The sequence below is a fragment of the Homo sapiens genome, chromosome 17 (genome assembly GCF_000001405.40).
Source record: "Homo sapiens chromosome 17, GRCh38.p14 Primary Assembly".
NCBI classification, from domain to species: domain Eukaryota; kingdom Metazoa; phylum Chordata; class Mammalia; order Primates; family Hominidae; genus Homo; species Homo sapiens.
Genome location: NC_000017.11, coordinates 15,463,262 through 15,477,933, shown reverse-complemented (window position 1 = coordinate 15,477,933; position 14,672 = coordinate 15,463,262). Strand labels below are relative to the sequence as shown.

At 45.9% G+C, this 14,672-nt stretch overlaps 2 protein-coding genes and 1 long non-coding RNA gene across 4 annotated transcripts in view; all 3 read left to right on the top strand.

Annotated features, from left to right (window-relative positions):
- The window catches only part of TVP23C-CDRT4 (TVP23C-CDRT4 readthrough), a 127,469-nt gene that overhangs the window by 85,550 nt on the left and 27,247 nt on the right, over nt 1-14,672 (top strand). The gene's annotated exons all lie outside the window — the stretch shown is intronic.
- CDRT3 (CMT1A duplicated region transcript 3) lies at nt 7,098-7,623 on the top strand. The gene has a single exon (NR_146601.1). It is a non-coding gene; the product is annotated as a CMT1A duplicated region transcript 3 (long non-coding RNA).
- Nucleotides 10,313-14,672, top strand: part of CDRT4 (CMT1A duplicated region transcript 4) — a 31,607-nt gene continuing 27,247 nt past the window's right edge. Inside the window, exon 1 of the mRNA NM_001204477.2 lies at nt 10,313-10,474. The gene's annotated coding sequence lies outside the window, so the exon portion shown is untranslated. The remainder of the gene's footprint in view (nt 10,475-14,672) is intronic.

Sequence of the window (14,672 nt, the reverse complement as noted above, 5' to 3'; positions counted from 1 at the left end):
GTGGTTTGGATTTCCTGCTTGCACCAACAAAGAGCATCCAGACTTTCACATGAGCTTGCCCAGATGCAAGGCACAAGGGGGTGAGGGAAAGGGAAGGCTTAAAAGTTGTTAGCAGGCCGGGTGTTGTGACTCAAAATACTGTAATCTCAGCATTTTGGGAGACCTAGGTGGGTGGATCACTTGAGCCCAGAGGTTTGCAACCAGCCTGAGCAAAATATTGAGACTCCTGTCTCTCCAAAACAATAAAAAATAAATAAACAAATAAATAAATAAATGGCTAGACATAATGGTGTGCACCTGTAGTCCCAGCTGTTTGGGAAGCTGAAATGGAAGGATCGCTTGAGGCCCAGAGTCTGAGGCTGCGGTAAGCTGTGTTCGCACCACTGCACTCCAGCCTGGGTGATAGAGTGAGACCCTCGTCTCAGAAAAAAAAAAAAAAAAAGTTGTCAGCAGTCAAAAAAAATAGATTTAGACTATTACAGCAGAAGGAGGAAGGCCAGTTGGGTGCTGTTGTGGTAATCTAGGCCAATGGTTCCCAGACTTTTGTTAAAGATACAGCTTCCTATTCTTTTAGCACATTTGAAATGTACAATACGTTATTATTAACTGTGGTCACCATGCAGGGCAACAGATCACTAAAACTAATGAATTCAGTCTAACTGAAATTGCGTCTTCATCAATATCTCTCCTTTCCCGGCCTCTTTCCTCTATCCACCCCTGCTGCCCCCACCACAGCCTCTGATATCAGCTTTCTACTCTGTTTCAGTGAGATCAACGTTTTTAGATTCCACTTATAAATGAGACCACACAGCATTTGTCTTTCTGAGTCTGGCTTATTTCACTTAGCATAATGCCTTCCAGGTTCATTCATGTTGTTGAAAATGACGTAATTTCCTTCTTGTTAAAGGCTAGCTAGTATTCCGTTGTGTATATGTACCACGTTTTCTTTATCCATTCATCTGTTGATGGACACAGGTAGATTCCATATCTCAGCTGCTGTGAATAGTGCTGTAATGAACATCAGAATGTGGTTATTTCTTCGATATATGAATTTTAGTTCCTTTGGATAAATACCCAGAAGTGGAATTGCTGGATGATATGGTGGTTCTATTTTTTCATTTTTTCAGGAACTTTTGTACCATTTTTCATAATAGCTGTGCTAACTTACATTCCCACCAACAGTGTAAAAGGGTTCCCTTTTCTCCATATCCTCACCAACACAGCAAGTGTGAGGTGATAATCTCACTGTGGTTTTAATTTGCATTTCTCTGATGATTAGAGATGTTAAATATTATTTCATACGCCTGTTGGCTGTTTGTATCTCTTTTTTTGAGAAATGTCAGTTCAAATCCTTTGCCCATTTTTTAATGTTTTTTTACCACAAAAATGTAAGTTGGTGAGCTGAGGATATGTTAATTAGCTTGACTGAATCTTTCTATAATTTATACATAGATAAAAACATCACATTGTGCCCCATAAGTGTACACAATTATTATTTATCAACTAAAATTAATAAATAAATCAATACACTTAAAACATTTAAGAAAACACTAAAAAACAAAAACTAACCAAACAAACAAACAAAATACAGCCTCTTAGACTTCACTCCAGATCTATTAAACCTACATTCCAGGGTGTGGATTATGGAAATAGGTGTTTGTAAATAGCTCCCAAGTAATTTAGAAGTACCTTTCATGGAATGACATTTGGGAACACTGGGCTATCATAATGAAAAAGAGAGCAAGGATTGAGAAACACTGGACAAGAGAGTCCAAGATATAAGACCCAGGGGAACCTTTAAAAATTTGCACATTTTGGGACTGGGTGACATGTGGTTGGAAGGAACGCTGGCTTATGGATTTTGCGGAGGGAACGGAAAATCTTATGGGTCTATCTAGAAAGCTGTGTGGATGTGATTGTGAATCTCCACACACATTTCTATGTGCATTACCCACCGTATGCACTCAAAGCGTGGAAAACATTTCACAGCCTGCTCGACTCCTCCCGTCTCAGCAGGCTGTGTATCTCCAGAGTTACTTTGGGGAGTGTGAACTCATACTATTAGTTGCCAATGAAAAATGGAATTAACTATGAGACTCTCTTGCAAAATAAATTACGTAATGTGTTCCAAAGATGAAAGAAATTCCTAAGGGATTGCCTGCCCTTCTGGATAACTATATTGCCACATTCTTTCTCTCTTGAGTTGAGAGTTAAGGGTTGACTGGGTAAAATCTGTCTTGTGCTCCATCATGAAAACACAACTCAGAGCTGGTTTTTGATGTACATCTAAGAGAAGTAACAGACAACTCAAAAGATTTGGGCCACCAGAACTGGTAAGAAAGTGCTGAAGGAGCCAATGGAGGGAGCACTTGTGTATATGTGGCTTGGTGTTTAATTCTGTTGGTTGTTTGCCATCTTCTTAACAACTTAGTAACTTACATAATTTGTTGATCGATCTCTCATCCTCTCAGGTTGCTGGTTTGGAAGGGACAACATGAGAAAATCAACAGGAAACTGATGTCTAAAACTATCCATCATCTATCTAGATATCCACTTAGCTAAGCAATATAGTCTATCACTGTGTGTTCTTTTCTTTTCTTTTCTTTTCTTTTCTTTTCTTTTCTTTTCTTTTCTTTTCCTTTCTTTTTTGAGACGGAGTCTCGCTCTGTCCCCGAGGCTGGAATGCAGTGGTGCAGTCTCAGCTCACTGCAAGCTCTGCCTCCTGGATTCACACCATTCTCCTGCCTCAGCCTCCCGAGTAGCTGAGACTACAGGTGCCCGCCACCACGCCCGGCTAATTTTTCATTTTTGTATTTTTAGTAGAGACGGGGTTTCACTCTGTTAGTCAGGATGGTCTCGATCTCCTGACCTCATGATCCGCCCGCCTTGGCCTCCCAAAGTGCTGGGATTACAGGCGTGAGCCACCACGCCCAGCCCACTGTGTTATTTTCTTTTTGTATTTTTCATCTATTTTCTTTCTCATCTTGCTTTCAGCATTTATTTGGAAAAAGAAAGTTCATTAGATATTTCTCTTTTCAAACACCTTTATGAGATATAATTCACATTCCATATAATTTTACAATTTAAATCATACAACTTAATGGTTCTTAGTGTCTTTACTTAAGTTGTACAACCATTGCCACAACCAATTTTTAGGACATTTTCCCCCCAAAAAGAAACCTCTTAGCCTTTAGCAGTCACTTTCCAAATATCCTATTCTCTCCCAGCACTAAGAACTCTACTTTCTGTCTCAATGGACTTGTCTATTCTGGATATTTCATATAAATGGAATCCTACAATATGTGGCCTTTTGTGACCAGTTACTTTCACTTAGCCTAATGTTTTCAAGGTTTATCTGCACAGTAGCTATTTTTCTTGAAAAGAACCCTTGGATCAGGTAAGACACAAATGAACACAACTCTCTGTATTGCCTTAATGGAAGTAGAGAAGGAAATTTTGCATTCTGTAGTTGCCCAAGGAAGTACTGTTGAATTAATTTTGCTTTATTTAAACTAAGGTGCTAGACACTGAATCTCCCAATAGGATTGGGACACAAGTCCTGTCTTTCAAAATAAAATGCTGGTCAAGCAGGTAGACTGCGGAGCCAAACTGCCTGGGTTCCAATCCTAGCTCTGTGCGCCCATCCTGTTGGTAGTTGTATGACCTTGAGCAAATTATTCAACCTCTCTGGGGCTCAGTTTCCTCATTTGAAAAATGGGGATTAAAAATTGTACCTAGCTTCAAGGGTGGCTGTGAGGGCCAAGTGAGATCATGGATGTAAAACTCTTGGCATGTTGCCTGCCCACTGATAAGCCCTCAATAAAGGCTGGCAATAATTACCAAAGTTCTTATTCAAAGAACTATAGTCCGATACGGTATAAGTGTGTCAAAAGAAGTATGATCAAAGGGCCATGGGGCACAGCAGAGGGAACATCAGTTCTATACTGGGTGGGTAGTCAGGGAGAAGAATCCTTTTTATGTGGGATTGTAATCTGGAGCCTAGATCCAGATGTGGTCTACAAAATATGTTTGGGGGCTACTGTTGTGTTTTAAAGATTTTGAAATTCAACTCCTTTAGACAGGCAGTCACCCCTACCACAACTTAATGGACCAAACTGGTTTGTTAGGGACATTAATGTTGCTTGAGTTCTGTGCCCCACGATGGAAGGTGACCTTTGACCTGGAACTTAAAGGTTGGCTTTGAATTAGCCAGACAGAGAGCAAAAGGTGATTGGTGTCACTCTTTCTCTCTTTTTTTTTTTTTTCAAGACAGAGTTTCTCTGTCGCCCAGGCTAGAGTGCAGTGACCATCTCGGCTCACTGCAAGCTCCGCCTCCCAGGTTCATGCCATTCTCCTGCCTCAGCCTCCCGATTAGCTGGGACTGCAGGCACCCACCACGGCGCCCAGCTAATTGTTTGTATTTTTAGTAGAGACGGGGTTTCACCATGTTAGCCAGGATGGTCTCAATGTTCTGACCTCGTGATCCGCCTTCCTCAGCCTCCCAAAGTGTTGGGATTACAAGCGTCAGCCACCGCGCCTGGCCGGTGTCGCTCTTTCTCATACTTTCTTTTTAATATTAGTTCTTCTGTAATCAATATGTCACATAGGCATGTGGTAAAACATTCCTACAATGAGCAAGCCTCCCATTTCTTCCTCATCAGTTACTGTGAGTGGAAAAGCACATCACCCAAAGTGATTTTTCTATTCCCTGACTCCATAACAACGATCAACATAGAAAATACCTGTGACCAAACATGTGGGGGTTTCTCTCCACACACCAAGCAAGCAGTCAGTTCCGCAGTGGCCACAGCTGGGAGCCCTCCAATTCAGTTTCAGCACTGTCTACTTGGAAACAGCGTCAGATCCCACAGAGTGAGGGGCTGGATCTTACAAGACTGTCTCCCTTTCAGACACCAGTCACAAGTCTGGGCCTTTGGAACTTCTGGCTGACTGGCTTCAAGCTGGGGTTCCCAAGAACTCTTCTTTGGGTTTGATTAATTTACTAGAGCATCTCACAGGACTCAGGGAAACATGTAAATTTACCAGTTTATTATAAAGGATATTACAAAGGACAGAGACGCATAGGGCTAGGTATGGGAAAAGGGGAGGGGATCTTCCATGCCCTCCCTGGGGCATCCTCCAGGAACCTCCATGCATTCGTTTGTCTGGAAGCTCTCTGAACCCTGTGCTTTTGGGTTTTTATGGAAACTTCATTACTTAGGCATAATTGATTAAACCATTGGCTAATGGTGATCAACTCAACCTTCAGCACCTCTCTCCTCCCCAGAGACTGGGGGCTGAAAGTCCCAACTGTTTAATCCTGCCTTGGTCTGGTGACCAGTCTCATCCTGAAGCTACCTAGAGGATGCTAACCCTCAGCCAGCTCATTAGCATACAAAAGGACAACACTTTTGAAATGGTAAGGGTTTTAGGAGTTGTATGTCAGGAAACAGGTTGAAGACCAAATATGTATTTCACAGTATCACAGTTACAGCTGGAATTTCATAGCATTCCAGAGACCTGTCTTCTATGAATATCCAAACATTTAAATGTAGGTTTAATCTCCCTTCCATTATTCACAAGGGATGAATTTTGAAATATTTTAAATAAGGAATGAAAACAAAATGAAAAACACACTAAAAAACAGGGCTCAGACAAGTGGTTTTGTTTTTATTTTCATTTTTATTGCAGAATTTTCTCAAACATACACAAGAATAGAGAGACTGGTACAATGAACATCTACATACCCATCACTCAGCACACTAACAGTCATCCACTCTTGCCCATCTTATTTAATTTGCCATTTACTTTCTTTGGCTTTGCTTGTTTTGGGGGGTCCTGTAGTATTCTGAAGATCTTGCTGTTTTTACTTAAATATATATTGTGATCATTACGCATATAGATTTGCCTCATTAGTTTAGAGACATCGAATTTCCATTATATGGATATTCCATATTTTAATCAGTCTCCCTTTGATCAGCATTTAGATTGTTTCCAGATTCTTGACATTATAAGCCATGTCACCAGGCACATTCAGTTTTATACCATTATATTACCTTTTTTATTTTTTGAGACAGAGTCTCGCTTTGTCACCCAGGCTGGAGTGCAGTGGCGCAGTCTCGGCTCACTGCAACCTCCGCCTCCCGGGTTCACGCGATTCTCCTGCTTCTGCCCCCTGAGTAGCTGGGACTGCCGGTGCCTGCCACCACGCCTGGCTAATTTTTGTATTTTTAGTAGAGATGGGGTTTCACCGTGTTAGCCAGGATGGTCTCAATCTCCTGACCTCGTGATCAGCCCACCTGGGCCTCCTAAAGTGCTGGAATTACAGGTGTGAGCCACTGCACCTGGCCTATACCATTATATTACTATTTGAGGTGTCCATTCTCCTGCCTGGGCTTTCAGCCATCTGGTAGAATTAGCATTTCTCGCCAATACCTACAAGTTCTAGTAAAGGCTCATATAATCCATTTTCATTCATTTTGATAGGTCTAAATGGTTGTGTTCTTGTCTTTAATTCAGAAAATGTTTATCGAGCATATACTATAAGCTGGATATCCCTGTAGGCTCTGGAGATGTGAGAGTGACTGGGATATAAACTGTGTTCAAGGAACACCTAGTTCAGTGGAGAAAAGATTGCATTGCATTTTGCCTCTTTTCCTCCTTTACCTGTGTTGTATCAGCTAGGATTAAATTTAGTTGTGAGTGGCAGAAAATCCAATAGCTGCCTTAAACCAGTTCACTACAAAAATCCTCAATAACTTTAGCTACTTTTGGAGTTTGCGAATATCCAATATATTCTTTTGAAAACCTGCCAATAAAGGAGAAAATATTCAACATTTGTGTTGCCTTTCTCATAAACTGCAAGGAAATCAAACAGTTGATGAGAAGTGTCTCCTTTAGAGGTGTTCCAAATAAAAAATGAAAAAGAAATGATAGCTTGAGAATATTACCAATCTGCAACTGTTAATTAAATAGTGTTTCTAGTCAATAAATCATTAATAGCTGCTAACACCGCAAAAGGAGAGACAACCCTGTATTCTGTACCTCCAAATATTTACACCATCATTTATGGAAAGCAAACCTAGAGCTGATCAAGGCTCTAGATATGACAGCTGCTTTATAGGGGGTAGAGGCGCTTGCTAAAGGACACTATGAAGATGTAATCGGTTCAGTCCAGACCATGGGAAACTCAGTTCCTTCTGCAGATAAGGACACATTATTGGAGAGGGAGGGGCAAACTGTACAGGCAAAGAGACTTAAGAAGTTTATAGACCAATTTGCATCGAAGTTTGGTTTGTCAAGACCTCTCGTGGCCTTTGTGTTCCTCAGAGCATCCTCTGTGCTTTGGCTTCTGAGGCCAATTGCCTGTTCGTTTCCTACCTCCTTTTGCGTTCCTGAGAGATAATTGGATTGGCCCAGGTCCTCTTTTTTGTTCTAGGCTGTAGGTCAGAGGTCAGCCGGTGGACTACCTGGTTTGATCATATGTCCTCCTTTGACTTACTCAGCTGGAGGTAAAGGGCCAAGGGGACCTCATGAGGAAGGGGTGATGTGTGCAGCTGCTCAACACCCTGAAAGGCAATTTGGGGACCAAGAGGGAGAGTTAATAAACTGACCTAACGCATTGAGTTTTTTCTGTGTTTTTTTATTTTTTCATATAAAACTTGAGCGTGGAGGCCAAAGGGATACACCTGAGTCCATTTGGCCAGTTATTTGGGGTTCTGGGGCAAAAGGAAGAGCAGCCAATGTAAGTTGGGTAGGGGTGGGGGCTCTGGGCAGGCTCACCATGGATTTCAGGGGGATTCTCAGGTGGGGAGAGCTGCCTCGTGGCCCCTTCTTAGTGGTGTACGTTCTGGAATTTGCACTTTGATTTTTCTACTTATGAATTGTGTATCCGTGGGCAACTTACTGAACTGTGTGCCTCAGTTTCATCACTTTGTAAAATGGGGATTAGAGTAGTGGAAACTGCCTCGAAGGTATTCCTGGGAGTTTTGAGCCCAGAATAAGCTAGTGTGTGAAGAGTTGAGAGCAGTACCTGGCATGGGGTGTGTGCATGGGTGACCTGGAGCCAACTCTGGAACCCCAGCTTTTTAATTCATTCTGCCTTGAATGAAGGGGCTGGCTGCACTTAGTACCTGCCTGTGGGGAGGTTACCAAGCAGCCCAGTGCTGAGGCCAGCAAGATACACTGAGGGACCCCAGAAGCACTGAGGTCAAGTCCCTGAGTCCCATGGGGCATCTCTGGGTTGGTCAGCACTGGGGTCACATTGCATGTTTGCTCAGCTTGCCCCTTCTCAGTGCCAGTAGAAGCCCATGGTGAGCCCAGATACAGGATCTGTTGACTCACGGGGAATTTGCTGCCCACAGAGGAGGGAGAAATGCACCTCCCCAAAGCCAACAATCAAAGGCCAGGCAAGCCCTGTGGGAGGAAAATAACTTGGGCTACAGATTTTCTTTTCTGGGCTTGGAGTCTTGCCATGGACAACACAGAAACAGACATGATTAGCATCATGGCTTCCGGAAACACTGTGAGTGCGCACTAGCAGGTGGTGGGCTGATGTCACTCTCAAATGGCTTTCTCGAGTCCGAGGGTCTGGCTCCCTGCCGGGCCCTGGCCCATTGCACATCAGCGCTAGGTATAAGCAGCTCAGAGAGTCACTTCAAGCTGCAGAAGACTTCTGGGGTGAGTCTTTGGAGGTTCTTGTGGAACCACAGGGGAGGTCCCCTGCTCATCCGCTACACTTCACACCTGGCCTGTGCACTCAAAGATGTCCACTGTCTTCCCCAGACTTGCTGGGAGAGAGAGCAGAACCTTGTCAGACTGGCCCACCCCAACTCCCCCCCATCCCCCTCACCTGTGCATTTCCCGTAGCATTTCCAGACGCCCAGGCTGTCCCGCACCTCCGTGACTTTGCTCAGATCCTTCCCTTGTCTAGAACTTGTTTGAAGAACTGAATGGAGATACTCAGGGCTCAGGGACACTGAGCCACAAAATAGGGGCCCATGGAAAGGTTGAAGGCATGGCTCCGCTGACACGGGAGCTCCAGAGCGAGAATGAATTCAGGGAGTTTAGGGCTGGAGTTGAAGAGGAACTAGAGCCTGGAGAGAGGGGAGGATAGAGAAAGGCTTTTTGAGAACCGCAGCAATGAGGGCTCTGCCTGAGGCTCTAGGTACTGACTCGTGGGCAGTGAGGAGAGGTAGATTTTTGTTGGGGATCCACTTGATGTATGTTTTCTTACAACTAAATGATAAAACTGAGGCTGAAACACAGGTGTTTTCTGCCTGGCCTTTTTCTAGAATGCACCTCTCTCTGAAGATTATAGAGAACTATGAAGAAAAGGAGATCGTGGGAAATATATGATTGAGTCAGTATGATTTGGAGGAAGCTCAAGTGCTTGCTGTGGTTGCAGAGAAGTGAGGGGACTTTACATTCCTGGCTGGACAGGTTGAACTCTGGGATTGGAGAGGTGGTGGGGGAGTGGAGAGGAGCAGAAGGAACAGACACAGGGAGAGACATTTCAAAGGATTGTCAACAGGGCATGATGATAACACAGGGAGAGCAAGTCCAGCCTGTCTCCTGGTGCTGCCCCGAGTTGATGACTGCAATTAAACTGCCAGACTTTACAGCCTGCTCTGCACTGTGTCCTCCTGGCATCTTGGGGACTTTTTCACGGTTGGGGCCACAGGGGAGGTTAGAAGCTGCTCGCTCTCTCCATTGCCAAGCACTGGCCGGTCAATGGAGTTGGGGAGAAGGAGGCTAATTCTCAACAGCCTGTTAGTGACAGCCATTCTCTCTCCAGCTTATCTAAAGAGGATTTTATTTCAGAAGAAGGCTGAGAGCTTGTTAGAAAGGCAAGTTCTTGGGCCCCACCCCACATATACTGAATCAGAGACCCTGGGAGTGGGACCCAGCAATCTGTCTTAATAGACCTTCTAGGAGATTCTGGCACTAAGGAAAGAGACCACAGGTCTTGTCTATCTCTGTAGTTGGCTGCGTCTGGGCCAGAGTAACTGCTTGTTGAAATGATCAGAGATCTCAAATGAGGTCATGCATGTTGGGGTGTGTGTGTGTGCATGTGTGTGTGTTGTGTATCTTTATGTGTGTATGTGTTTGGTCTAGGGTCCAGCACATAGTAGGTGTTCACTCTTGGGGGTGGGAATAATCACTCTAATGTCCGTGTTTGAGGACTGCATTGCTGGTGACCGCTGAGCCTGCAGAGGAGGAAGAGAGCAGGGCAGAAGATTCAGGAGGGGGTGCATGGCAACTTCTGATGTCACAGTGCCCCCCTTCACTCCTGACTTCTGGCTCATGGGTCACTTTGGGGCAGGGGCAAGAGGATGGTTAGCTGCAGCAAAGAGAGAGCCAAAGAGAAGTGGGATTGAGAGCACAGGGGACAGCTGGAGACAAAATATAAACGCCGGGCAGGGGAACAGCCAAGATAGTGCAGGAAGGATGGGGAATCACAGAAACTTCTCAGGTAACAGTCTGGGCCAGAACACTGGGTGTCCCCAGAGAGGGAAGTCGAGGGTGAAAGTGAAAAGGCTCACACTCAACTTCCAGGAGAAGGTCAGGTCCTTCATCAAAGAATAATCCTGCCATTAAAGGGTCCCCAGAGTCCCCAGCATTACTTCCCTTAAGTGGATCCCAATCCTGGTCACCCAATCCCCTCAGGACTTTGTAAAACGTACTGATGCCCAACCCTTGCCAACAAGCTCGTCCCATTCCTAGGATTCTGATTTACTTTGTCTGCAGAGGGCTTGAGCTCAGGTATGTCTATAATGACAGCCAGGTGATTCTATTGTACACTCAGGGCTGACCACTCTACTTAAGCAAAACACACACACACAAAATATACCCCCGTTCCCCCCCATCCCCTGGGGGTGATGGGTTGGGGATGAGGGTGATGATGTTCCCACAGATGCATTACCTCTCCACAGAGCTCAGGACCAAAGGAATGTTTAGCCAGAACTGGTAAATACCTTTAAAAAATTATTAAGCACCTATAGAAACCTATAGGGACAAAGGTGACTAAGAGGATTTTTACAAAACAATAATAATCAAGTCACTTATTTAAAAATAATTAATCATGCTTGTAATCCCACCACTTAAGGAGGCTGAGGCAGGAGGATTGTTTGAGGCCGAGAACTCAAGACCAGCCTAGGCAACATAGCAAGACCCCGTTTCTACAAAAATAAAAATAAAAATAAATTAGCTGGGCATTGGTGTGCACCTGTAGTCCCAGCTACTCTGGAGGCTGAGGCAGGAGGGCCCCTTGAGTCCAGGTGTGTGTCTGTATTGAGTGTGTGTCTGTGTGAGCCCAGGAGTTTGAGGCTGCAGTGAGCCATGATCGTGCCACTGCACTCCAGCCTGGGTGTCAGTGAGACTGTCTCTATAAAAGTAAAAATTAAAAAAAGTAATTTAGAACAAGGAATAAAAGACACCAGTGAATGAAACAAAAAATTAGTAAGAAACCTTGCGATCCATGAATGCACCTTGGTGTAGATAGGGGTGGGGAGAAGAGAACAGAAGAGACTCGTTTCTGCAGATGAGGCAGCCCTTCCCTTCTCCCCATCTGGGTGGAAGCTGGCCCAGCGCCCAGGCTCCCACCCCAGGCAGTGTTTCTGGAGGCCTGAGCCCGAAGCCCACTGTTTGTGCTGGAAGCTCTTGCTTTACACTTGTTTGAGCTACATTGAGTCAGTATGAGAGAGGCAGATAGGTGACGCAGGTTAAGAACATGGGCAGCCGAGTCCCTGGGTTCAAATCCAGACTCTGTCACTTGTCAGTTCACCCACTGGCCTGGGTCAGGGAGCTGACCTGGGTCCCAGGTCGCAGGCTTCCTCCAGGCTTCCTGGTAGGCTCTGCCCTCCCTCCCCCTCCCTTTCCCTCCCTCTCCCTCCCTTTCTCTCCCTCCTTCAGGGATGTCTTCTAAGTGCTTACCACTTGTGCAGGGCACAAAGAGGGTTTCCCCACCAGCTGTAGAATGCTCAGGCCCTGTAACAACTGGATCTGCCCCCAGGTGCAGCAACTCTAGGATCCTCTGTTGCCCTCCTGCTGCTACCACCCTCAGGGGTCTGGAGTCCTCACGATGCGCGCTGCATGTCCTCCCCACGGTGGATGGCCAGGCTCCCTCCCCCTCTTCCCTGACCACAGCAAGAGCCCCTTGGCTGCCATATTGGAAGGCGTTAGCATGCGTGTCTGTGCATGTGTAGGCATATGTGTCTCCGTGTTTGTGATATGACTGTGTGTTTGTGTGTTTTGTGTGTTGTGTGTATCTTTGTGCGTGTGTGTCTGTGTTGTATGAATGTCTTGGTGTGTATCTCTGTGCTGGTGTATGTGTGTCTGTGTGTTGGTGTGTGTGTTTGTACCTAAGTGTCTTTGTTGTGTGTGTTTGTGTTGGTGTGTCTGGTATTGGTGTGGGTCTGTGTTGTGTGTGTCTGTGTTTGTATGTCTGGTGTTGATGTGTATCTCCGTTATGTGTGTCTGTGTGTTGGTGTGTCTGGTACTGGTGTATGTCTGTGTTGGTGTGTGTTGTGTGTGTGTGTTGGTGTGTGTGTTATGTGTGTCTGTGTTGGTGTGTCTGGTGTTGGTATGTGTCTGTGTTGTGCATGTCTGTGTTGTGTGTGTCTGTGTGTTGGTGTGTCTGGTGTTGGTGTGTGTTTGTGTTGGTGTGTGTGTTGTGTGTGTTGGTGTGTGTCTGTTGTGTGTGTCTGTGTGTTGGTGTGTGTCTGTTGGTGTGTCTGTGTTGGTATGTGTGTTGTGTGTCTGTGTGTTGGTGTGTGTGTGTTGGTGTGTCTGTGTTTGTATCTGTGTGTTGGTGTGTCTGTGTGTTGGTGTGTGTCTGTGTTGTGTGTGTCTGTATTGGTGTGTGTCTGTGTTGGTGTGTGTCTGTGTTATGTGTGTCTGTGTGTTGGTGTGTGTCTGTGTTGTGTGTGTCTGTATTGCGTGTGTCTGTGTGTTGGTGTGTCTGTTGGTGTGTGTGTCTGTGTGTTGGTGTGTGTGTGTGTTGCACCCACTTGCACTTTCTTGAACCCTGCTTGATGTCTGTGCCTCTGTTCCCGTATCCCTGCTGGTTCCTTTCTGTGCTGGCTGTCAGCAGAGCTGCGAGTGTGGATGCCAGGCTGGAGTGAGTGAAAGAGCAACCGCTGGTATGGGCCATTCGCTGGGGGATTTTGGCAGAGAAAAGGAGCAAAATACAAGTAACGGAAGCTTGGGGGTCAATGGAAGAATTGTTTAGAGGAGGGGAGACTTGGCAAGGTTTGAAAGCAGAAGGGGAAGGGTGCATAAGGAGGGACATTTGGAAAAGTGCTGGAGAGGGGAGCAGAGGGAAGCTGCCAGGGAGGTGCACCAGCAGAGATTGGGGTGAGGGCACAGGAAAGGACACAGAAACCCCACCCCAGGACTTGTTACCCAGCTCTCAGATTGCTAATGCCCAGCATCTAGTGCTGCCTCTCAGGAATCAGCTCCAACTAGCAAGGGGTGGGAAGGGAAGAAGCGAGCTCGGAAAAGGCAGCCGCTGCTGCAGTGAGGGTGATATGTAATGCTCATGGACCCGTGCTAATCATTTCCTCCTTTGACTTGTGCCAGGGGCCAAGCCTAGGGCAGGTGCTGGTCTCTGCCTTTGACGGGCTCAAGGTCTATTTGGAGTATGGATGCATCAGCTCTCAAACCTGAAGGCTTGCCTGGCGTAGGGGTCTCCACATCTACCCATTGGCATCTCCATCCCCATCCCTGGCCCTATCCCCAAGCTCAGTGACACATCACCAGAGAAAAACGCGGCCAGAGAGGTTAATAAGTTACCCAAGGTCACACAGTTGGTCAGAAGCAAGACTCGAACCTAGCACTGCCTAATGCCAACATTCGAGGTCTGCCCCTCCATGCCATACTCCTAGAGGGCATTGGGTTCCTGGTCCCCGTGCTCTGTCTGACTTCTGACTCTGTTACTTGCTTGACCTTTGAATATCACTTTGCCGGCTCCTCTGCCCGCCTGACTTGGACCCTTGCTGATTTCACCCAGCTTGTTAGTCTCAGCTCAGACTTCCCCACCAGCTACTGATCCCTGGCCAGACCCCAGCCTTGTATCTTCCCTAGGACCTTCTGGGGCTCCCTCAGACCCCATTTCCTCAGGCCACCCACATCTCTGATGACAGACGGGCAGGCGGGAGGATGCTCAGAAGACGGTGTTAAGGAGGAGATACTTTAGGTTGGAATCAGCTAGCATAGCCTCTGGCACATGGCACAGTGGAGAGTGGAGAGCCCACCGCAGAGAGGGCAGCTGGGAGCAGCTTCATGGCTCACAGAGGGTGGAGCTGCATGGAATGTGCCGGGAAAGTCAACGAGGAAAATTTGGCCAAGTTACAGTGAGTGCCTAGCTGAAACCGGACACCAAGAATTTGTAGCAGGTCAGGCCTGCTGCCTGGGAAATAGTTGGCCTACTTTGCTTTTCAGTTTTCATTGTTTATTTCTAAAATAAATGTTTATTTTACCTTTGTATTTAAGGTTTTTAGGAACATGGGAAAGAATGATTTTGTTCTGGTTTTAGACACTTACTTTTGGCCTTAGAGAGACACGAGCCAACTTGCTAATTACAGCCTAAAAGTCAGTGTTTGATGGTGGAGTCTTTCTTTGATAGGTGCAGCTGCCTGGTGGCACATCTCCAGGCTTTGCGTTCTCCACCC